The sequence below is a fragment of the Homo sapiens genome, chromosome 6, assembly GCF_000001405.40.
Source record: "Homo sapiens chromosome 6, GRCh38.p14 Primary Assembly".
NCBI lineage: Eukaryota > Metazoa > Chordata > Mammalia > Primates > Hominidae > Homo > Homo sapiens.
In genome coordinates this window covers 35538198-35548323 of record NC_000006.12, presented here as the reverse complement: position 1 = coordinate 35548323, position 10126 = coordinate 35538198, and the positions used below count along the sequence as shown (strand labels likewise).

The 10126-nt window shown below is 44.8% G+C and overlaps 1 long non-coding RNA gene across 2 annotated transcripts; it reads right to left on the bottom strand.

Moving 5' to 3' along the window:
• Positions 1 to 2652: 2652 nt before the first annotated feature.
• LINC03135 (long intergenic non-protein coding RNA 3135) lies at positions 2653 to 4680 on the bottom strand. Of its 2 annotated transcripts, none has more exons than NR_187689.1 (3): positions 4566 to 4680; positions 3391 to 3456; positions 2653 to 3109 (listed from the first exon to the last, which is right to left on the bottom strand). It is a non-coding gene; the product is annotated as a long intergenic non-protein coding RNA 3135 (long non-coding RNA). The 2 variants fall into 2 exon arrangements; NR_187690.1 differs by lacking the exon at positions 4566 to 4680 and adding an exon at positions 3649 to 3699.
• Between the last annotated feature and the right edge of the window lie 5446 nt (positions 4681 to 10126).

The following is a 10126-nucleotide window of genomic DNA, read 5'->3' as shown; positions in this document are numbered from 1 at the left end:
TGCAGGCCTGTAGTCCTGGCTACTTGGAGTCTGAGACAGGAGGATCTCTCGAGCCCAGGAGTGCAAGGCTGTAGTGAACTAGGATTGTGTCACTGCATTCCAGCCTGGGTGACAGAGTGAGACTCTGTCTCAAAAAAGAGAGAGAGAAAGAGCTGGCAAAACCCAGGAAATACGTGGAAGAGAAAAATTAAAGCAGCACAGAGGAGAAGAGAAAATGGAAAGTATCACAGGAAAAGCAGATGCCACCAAAAACACAGAGAGGACTGTAACAAAGTGAGTGAGAAAATGGAAAGGGGATAGTTAAATGGGAAGTTTACCCTGTAAGCTCTTCTTCCTAGATAGCTAAAAGGAAATGACATATGGCAAACGGACAAGAGAGCTAATAGATACGCAGTTGTAGTTCCTAAGGAAACAAAAGAACAAACATGAAGACAGAATCCTGAAACTGTTTCCAGCACTAAGAAAACAGGATTATGCATCTTCAAAGGCCATGTCCCAATAAAAGTGGATATAAACAGTCAACATTTCCAAATGAACTGACGTTCACAGATAAGGATACAATTCTTTGAACTGACAGGCTAACGGACCAAATCACCAGTAAGAAGAAAAGAATGTGCGGGGCTCACCCATCTCTGCAACTGCGACCCAATGTTATAGGACAGCGGAGCAAACAACACCTAGAAATCCTGAAAGATGCAAATGTAACCCAAGACGTTTATACCCAGCCCACACATTTCTGAACAGGCAAAACTCAAGGAATGTTGCTCTTGTGAGCTCCTCCTAAGGAAAATACTCAAAGGTGAAGCTCAGCCATCCAGGATGGGAGCCCAAGCTAATAGTCTGGCACAGCAGAGCTCCCGGGATGGCTGAGCAAGGGCTCCCACGCCTGCGCTCAGTGTAGAACTCACGCCTTTCATACCCTGGGGGACCATTCCAATGCCCCCTTCTCTATACAAGAAATGATTTTCAGTTAATAACCATGTTCTCATTAATAATTATTTTCTTCATTACTTAATTTTAAAACAAAAAATTAACTTCAAATTTTAAAAATATTATTCAATCAAATGAAATATTTCATGTACCAATTAAAAGTTATACTGATTAAAAAAAACTACACCTTAAGCTGACATTCTATTTTGCTGTTTTAAATTCAAAAAACAGCAAATTTATGGATTTGGGATGGGATTACAGGTATGGCAACAGGCACCTGTAATCCCATCTATTTAAGAGGCTAGGGCAGGCCAGGTGTGGTGGCTCACACCTGTAATCCCAACATTTGGGAGGCCAAGGTGGGTGGATCGTTTGAGGTCAGGAGTTCGAGACTAGCCTGGCCAACATGGCGAAACCCTGTCTCTATTAAAAATACAAAAATCAGCTGGGCGTGGTGGTGGACACCTGTAATCCCAGCTACTTGGGAGGTCTAGGCACAACAATCACTTGAATCCGGGAGGTGGAAGTTGCAGTGAGCTGAGATTGTGCCACTGCACTCCAACCTGGACAACAGAGCGAGACTCTGTCTAAAAAGAAAAAAAGAAAAAAAAAAAAGAAACTAGGGCGGGAGGATGGCTTGAGCCCAGGAGTTCCAGTCCAGTCTGGGCAACATCGCAAGACCCCATCTCAACTATAAAAAAAAAAAAAAAAAAGAATTAAAAACAAATTAAAACTCCAAGCAATCATATAACTGAATTGAAATGATTCAAGTTGTTTAATCATTTTTACAAGCACAGCATACAATCACTTCTATACACTCTGTGTACCATCATTTATTTCATATTCACTAAATGCAGAAGTATGTTGTACGGTGGGGCTAAAGACACAAACCACACTGAAGAGAGCAGAAAGCATTTCAAATCTTTAGGGACCTACTCTCCAAATAAGTAGCTGTGTTTGTTGAGGGGGGAGTAATTTTCCGAATTAGCTTCCATGTAGAATATAAAGGATAACTAATTAAAATGTGCTAATTTGAAGGATATAGAGGGTTAATAATTTCATTTAAGTTCTTGGGTACATGTGCAGGATATACAGTTTTGTTACATAGGTAAACATGTGCCATGATGGTTTGCTGCACCTATCAACCTATCACCTAGGCATTAAGCCCAGCATGAATTAGCTATTTATCCTGATGCTCTCCCTCCCCACAGATAGAGGGGTTTTTTAGTTTTTTTTTAATTGAAACTCAAGGCTGGGCACAGCGGCTCACGCCTATAAACCCAGCACTTCAGGAGGCTGAGGCGGGCGAATCACATGAGGTCAGGAGTTCCAGGCCAGCCTAGTCAACATGGTGAAACCCCGCCTCTATTAAAACTACAAAAATTAGCTGGGCATGGTGGCGCATGCCTCTAATCCCAGCTACTTTGGAGGCTGAGGCAGGGGAATCGCTTGAACCTAGGCGGTGGAGGTTGCTGTGAGCTGAGATTGCTTCATTGCACTCCAGCCTGGCGACAGAGCGAGACTACATTTCAAAAAAGAAAGAAAAGAAAAGAGAGAAAGAGAGAAGGAAGAAAGAAAGAAAGAAAGAAAGAAAGAAAGAAACTCTCAACAATGACCTAAGCAATTATATAAAACTTAGATCCTAACTAAAAGATTTTGAGAGAGGAACATTTTATCACCAACATTGTTTAGGATTGCCAGCACAGGGTTTTACAATAAAGAGACGGGCTAATCAGTTGCTTTATTGTTTTTAGGTTCTCTGCTGACCTGGACCCCCATCTATTGCCAGCACCTGGGGCTGACCCACCTGCTGCCCTGCCCTTAGTGCCTCCCACCCCCACCTTCACCCCCATATGACATATGTGATCTTAAGGTTCACATCACTTTTTTAGGTGATGAGATCTCTTGGCTGAGTTGAGATTGTAGAAAATCAACTCCAGCATAAGGAGCAGGCAGAGGTGCCCTAAGGTGAGGGAGGGAGATGAAGTGGAATGGGGGCAGGGGTGAGAGGGGAGAGGAGTGGAGGTGAGGGCCAAGCTGAGGCTGGAGCCCGGCGAAGGGGAAGAGGACTGGAAGGATGATGAAGAAGATACCCTTGGTTCCCTTGGGCTGGAGATTGGGCTTTGGTGGCTGAGTCACAGGGCTGGGGCCTGCAGGGGATCAGCCACCCTGCCCTGCCCTGCGGGTGAAAAAAGAGGGAGGGAATAGTTCAGGCAGGAGGTAATCCAGTAAAGACTTGCCTGACGGCTAGAACCAGATAATAACAGCACACAGTCTTGGAGACACAAGTAGATCCTCTCCTCCCGCTCCCCCTCCCCCGTCCCCGTCCCTGTCCCCTCCTCCTCCTCTTGCTTCACACTCTCCTCCTCCCCAGCTCTTAAACATGGTCCTGGGCCCCTGCTCCAGGCTACCCAGTCCTCCTCCACCCTCCTGCCCTCCTTCCCTGACCCTGGAACTCACCCCTCCAGATGGCGTCCTCGAGATGGAGAGGCGATGCCATCCAGGTGCAGACAGACATGGACGCACCTGCAGGGGAGAAAAGGTTGTCACTGGCCAGCCCTGAGACCCACGCAGGAGCAAGCAACAACATCCGGAGGACACTGGAACTGAACAACCATGAATAAGAGCACAAGGGTCAGGGCCCAGAAGAGAAATGACAGGACGCCACCAGAGAAGGCGGAACAAGACCTGAGACGGACAGTCCTGAGGAAATTCCACCTGTCAGGAGAAGCTTGTGGTTTGCACACGAGCTGAAAGGCATCAGTGTTTGAGAACAGGGCTGGGAAACAACACAGAAGAGGTGCCCATCTGCCAGCCAACCAGAGTGCAGTTGTTTTGGATTCGGAATCCCTGGTTTTCCTGGGGCACCTTGGGAGCCTCTAATGAGAATTGGTGCATTTGCCATTTTCTTCTTGGGGACCATTCTTTTCCACAAAGAGTAAAAGATCTGAAGTGATTCAACATCAGGCTCTGCAGAAATGTTTTAAAAAATAAATTATGTAAAAGATGTCATTTTATTAGCAGAAGAGCAAAAGTTATGATATATTTTGAAGAAATCAAGCTACAGAGGGAGAATTTATCAAAGAGGTTGTTTTACCTACAATCAGAAGGATATGAAGCAAACATGAGAGAAAATCTGCCCCTGATTTGGGGGAACCGAGGAAGAAAAGAATGTAAAGAAGGCATGGCTCAGTGGCTCACGCCTGTAATCCCAGAACTTTGGGAGGCCGAGGTGGGTGGATCACTTGAGGTCAGGAGTTTGAGACCAGCCTGGCCAACATGGCAAAATCCCATCTCTACTAAAAATACAAAAATTAGCTGGGTCTTCTGGCGCACACCTGTAATCCCAGCTACTCGGAGGCTGAGGCACGAGAATCACTTGAACCAACCCGGGAGGCGGAAGCTGCAGTGAGCCAAGATCACGCCACTGCATTCCAGCCTGGGCGACAGAGTGAGACCCTGTCTCCAAAAAAAAAAAAAAAGAAGACATGGAAAGCCAGTACTTCATGAAAAGATTATAATAAGAAATTTAGTAAAGCTTTAGGAAGGAAAAGAGAAACGCTTAATGAACCCCAAAACCAAGCCGAGAGAAGATTAAGTCTGAACACCTTAAAATTCAAGAAAACAAAACATACCAGACTTAAGAGCACGAAACAGTTGCTACAGGAAGTGAAAGATGAGTGAGCGACATTCTAAGCCTTCCTACTTCTCCAGAAGCCTTCATGCAGGAGTTCTCGCTGCCTGTGCATTGAAGTCACCTGGAAGGGCTTGAAAAAACACTGATGCTGGGCCCCGCCCCCAGAATTCCTCGGCTAAGAGGTCTGAGGGGCACTTGATCACTGGGATTTTAAAAGCTCCCCAGGTGATTCTAACAGGCAACCAGGATGAAGCTGGAAGAAATAAAGTGGAGAGGGAGGAAAAAAACAATCACTCAAGAACACAATACTGGTTAATAAATGTTGTACTTAAGCTGGCCAGATGTAGTGGCAGACACCTGTAATCCTAGCGCTTTGGGAGGCTGAGATGGGAGGATTGCTTGAGGCCAGGTGTTCCAGACCAGCCTGGTCAACATAACAAGACCCCATCTCTACACAAAAATTAAAAATGGCCTGGCACACTGGCTCATGCCTGTAATCCCAGCACTTTGGGAGGCCAAGGCGGGTGGATCACTTGAGATCGGGGGTTCAAGACCAGCCTGGCCAACATGGTGAAACCCCCATCTCTACTAAAAATATAAAAATTAGCTGGGTGTGGTGGTGGGCACCTGTCATCCTAGCTACTGGGGAGGCTGAGGCAGGAGAATCACTTGAACCCGGGAGGCAGAGGTTGCAGTGAGCCGAGATCATGCCACTGCACTCCAGCCTGGGCAACAGGGCAAGACTCTGTCTCAAATAAAAATAAAAATAATAATAAAGTTGTACTTGAAAAAAACTCAAATGTCCATCAACAGGAGAATGGATAACCAAACTGAGGCATATCCCCCCAGTGGAATACCACTCAGCAATACAAAATGCTCCTATATAGACAACAAGGATAAATCTTTAAAAACATTATGCTGGCCGGGCGCGGTGGCTCACGCCTGTAATCCCAGCACTTTGGGAGGCCGAGGCAGGCAGATCACCTGAGGTCGGGAGTTCATAGACCAGCCTGGCCAACATGGTGAAACCCCATCTCTACTAAGAATACAAAAATTAGCCAGGCATGGTGGCAGGTGCCTATAATCCCAGCTACTCGGGAGGCTGAGGCAGGAGAATCGCTTGAACCCAAAAGGCAGAAGTTGCAGTGAGCTGAGATCGCGCCACTGCACTCCAGCCTGGGAGCCAGTGTGAGACTCTGTCTCAAAAAAAATAAATAAATAATTAAAAAATAAAAATAAAAAAAGAAACACTGTACTTGAAAAAGAGGCCATTTCGAATGCAAACTGAGTGGTGAGGTGTGAGCTGGACAAGAGCAGACATCACACACAAAGCATTTGGCCACCATGGCAGTGGAGAAGGAGTGTAGAACCTTGCCACAGAGACCCTTAAATACTGCATCAGCAGAGGAGGGGCTCTGCACGAGGCACCGACTCAAGAGAGAATGAATAAGAGGACAGAGTGGAGCAGGCAGGAGCTCTTAGCTGCAGAGGAAGCAAAAAACTAAGCAAAGTGTTCCAGAACAGGAAGGAAAATTACAGAAGGGACAGAGAGAGAGAGATAAGTCTAATGAAACTGATTGTTCTTCATGATCAGTGAGTCCATGACAATATGTGTGTTGCTGTTGCTACCAAAAGAACACTTGTTGGACAGAAGCAGCAAGCTGCCAGCCTGGGACAGAAATTAATGTAAGTAAAACCAAAGATGGCAATGCTTCTAACACCAGCGACTGTAAAACCAATTCCAGAAAGACAAGATTATGAAATCCTACTATATTTCAGGAAAACTCTACAAAAACAGATGGCAGATTTTTGCAAGACAGGCCAAGATGGCTGACAGCATTCCAGTCAAAAGGAACAGGAAAGAAGAGATGGGCCAGCACAACTTAAAGCTGCACACATTAGGCCAGGCGTGGTGGCTCATGCCTGTAATCCTAACACTTTGGGAGGCTGAGGCTGGTGGATCACCTGAGGTCAGGAGTTCGAGACCAGCCTGGACAACATGGTGAAACCCCGTCTCTACTAAAAACACAAAAAATTAGCCAGGCATGGTGGCAGGCACCTGTAATCCCAGCTACTCGGGAGGCTGAGGCAGGAGAATCGCTTGAACCCAAAAGGTGGAGGTTGCAGCGAGCCGAGATTGCGCCACTGCACTCCAGCCTGGGTGATAGAGTGAGACTTGGTCTCAAAAAAAAAAAAAAAAAGTTGCACACATTACTTTCATTCATAATCATCGGCCAGAACTTAACCCTTTGGCAATATCAAGCTGCAAGGGAAACTGGAAGTATGGTCTATACTATGAGGAGCCATGTGTCTATAAAAATCAGGCATCTGTCACACAAAAAAATTAAAGCTAATAAAAGAGTTCAGCAAAGTTGCAGGATACAAGATAAATATACAAAAATTGGCTGTATTTTACCTGGGCATGGTTTATGTGAGTAGTCCCAGCTACCAGGGAGGCTGAGGCAAGAGAATTGCTTGAGCCCAGGAGTTTGAGGCCAGCCTGGGCAACATAGCAAGATTCTGTCTCTTAAAAAGAAAAAAAGGTTGTATGTTTACACATTAGCAATGGACAATATGAATGAAAATAAAATTTTAAGAACAGTTTCATTCACTATAGCATCAAAAAAGATAAAATACTTAGGAGTAAGTTTAACAAAAGAAGTGCAAGACAGGTACACTGAAAATTACAAAGCATTATCCAAAAAATTACAGATCTAAATAAATAGAAAGACAAATAAATGAATAAAAAGACCTAAATAAATGGAAAAATTTTGTGTTCATGAATTGGAAGACTTAATATTGTTAAGACTTCAATACTCCCCAAATCACTCTACAACTCAATATAATCATTATCAGAATTCCACCTGCTTTTTTATATGTGTGAAAATGGACAAGCTGATTCTAAAATTCATATGGAGGCCAGGCACGGTGGCTCATGCCTGTAATCCCAGCACTTTGGGAGGCCGAGGCAGGCAGATCACTTGCAGTTAGGAGTTTGAGACCAGCCTGGCCAACATGATGAAACTCTGTCTCTACTAAAAATACAAAAATTAGCTGGGCGTGGTGGTACATGCCTATAATCTCAGCTACTCGGGAGGCTGAGGCACGAGAATTCCTTAAGCCCTGGAGGCAGAGGTTGTAGTGAGCTGAGAACATGCCACTGCACTCCAGCCTAGACAACAGAACAAGACTCTGTCACACACACACAAAAAGAATAAAATTAAATTCATATGGAAATCCAAGAGACCCTGAACAGCCAAAGTCTTCATGAAAAAGAACAAAGTTGGAAGACTCATACTTCTGCTTTCAAAACTTACTACAAAGCTCCAATAATCAAAACTGTGTGGTACTGACATAAGGATAAACATATAGATCAAATAGAACTGAATCCAGAAATAAACCCATATATCTATGGTCAACTGATTTTTGACAAGGGCGCCAAGACCATTCAATGAGGAAAACAGTCTTCAACTAACAGTGCTAGGATAACTGGATATCTGTGTGCCAAAAGAATGAAGTTGGGCCCCTACCTCATACAAAAGTTAGGTCAAAATAAGTCAAAGACCTAGACGTGAGAACCAAAACTATGAACCTATTAGAAGAAAACACAGGAGTAAATCTTCATGACGTTGGAGTAGGCAATAAACAAAATTCTATGATTAGAATCTCACCATCTCCTGCAGCATAGGAATCCAGCAAGAGTGGATGCAGCTGAGGAAGGAAACTGGATAGTTGGAAGTTAGGAAGAGGGAGAGTTACTTTCAACTGTATATTCATTTTTATCTTTTGCATGTTGTACCATTTGCATATAATACCGATTCAAAAAATACAATTTAAATTAAGAGAAAGAAAGAAAGAGATGGCAGGCCAAATTTGGCCCCAGGGCTATACTTTGCTGAGTCCTGCTCTAAGCCAAAGTGGCTCCTCTGGCCCACCACTGAAATCAGCAGAACACTCTACCCCCAATCATGATGAATGTGTGGTTCTAGAATGTTGTGTTAATTAGGACAGGCCAGCTTTATCTCCACCCTCTGACTTGCTTAGGCCTTACTAAGGAATCTAAAGTCCTTGCCACTACCTGCTCATCAGGTCCAAAGAAAACAGTATCATTCATGCAATGATGTTCTGTGAGACAGTAAAATGATTAAAACCTCTGCAGACTAGATTATGGGCGAACAAGAGGGTTATCAACCTTGAGGCAAGACTGCAAAGGTATACTGTTGGGCCTATCAGATGAAATTAGAAGGCTTTTGTTAGTTTTTGCAAATTGTTATTGAGAAAAAAATCATTTGCCAGATCAAGAGTGGTGTATCAGGGGACCAGGGAATATGCTGATTTGCTCCAAAAAGATATCACATCTGGTACAGCAGCTACAGCTGGAGTCACTATCTGATTATGTTTACAATAAATAACAGAAATTCTCTAAAAGCCTTCTGCCTTCTGCACAAGCCAAACAAATGAGATAAATGAGGGCATGAGGCCGGGTGTGAGGCCAGGTGTGGCAGGTCTTTATCCCAGCACTTCGGGAGGCCAAGATGGGAGAATCACAAGTCCAGGAGTTCGAGACCAGCCTGGGCAACATAGCAAGAACCCTGTTTGTACACACGTACAAAAATTAGCTGAGCATGGTGGCATGCGCTTGTAGTCCCAGTACTCAAGAGGCTGAGGTGGGAGGGTGGCTTGAACCTACAAGTTCAAGGCTTCAGTGAGCTATGATCATGCCACTGCACTCCAGCTTGGGCAGCAGGGTGAGACCCCGTCTCAAAAAACAAAAAACAAAAATGAGGGTCTGACAGGTAGCCTCGTCCCTGAAGTTTCCCCAGCATGCAGCATTACTTTTAGTTTACCATCCAGAGAGAGAGAGAAAGCTCTTGGCTCCTTTCTTGTGATCCTTCATACCACAACAGCCTTTATTCAACGGTTCTGAGAGCCAACATGAGGATTCAGGGATTCAGGTTTGTTTTTTTATTTCTTTTCTTTTCTTTTCTTCTTCTTCTTTTTTTTTTTTTTCTTTTTTTTTGAGACGAAGTTTTGCTCTGTAGCCCAGGCTGGAGTGCAGTGGCATGATCTCGGCTCACCGCAACCTCCACTTCCCGGGTTCAAGCGATTCTCCTGCCTCAGCCTCCAGAGTAGCTGGGATTACAGGTGCGCACCACTGCACCCGGCTAATTTTTTGTATTTTTAGCAGAGACGGGGTTTCACCATGTTGGCCAGGCTGGTCTTGAACTCCCGACCTCAGGTAATCCACACGCCTCGGCTTCCCAAAGTGCTAGGATTGCAGGCATAAGCCACTGCACCCGGCTGTTTGTTTGTTTTCTGAGATGGAGTCTTACTCTGTCACCTACGCTAAAGTGCAGTGGTGTCATCTCGGCTCACTGCAACTTCTACCTCTCAGGTTCAAGTGATTCTCCTGCCTCAGTCTCCCAAGTAGCTGGGATTCCAAGGGCCCACCACCACACCCAGCTAATTTTTTTTTCTTTGTATTTTTAGTAGAGACAGGATTTTGCAATGTTGGCCAGGCTGGTCTTGAACTCCTAACCTCAGGTGATCCTCCTGCCT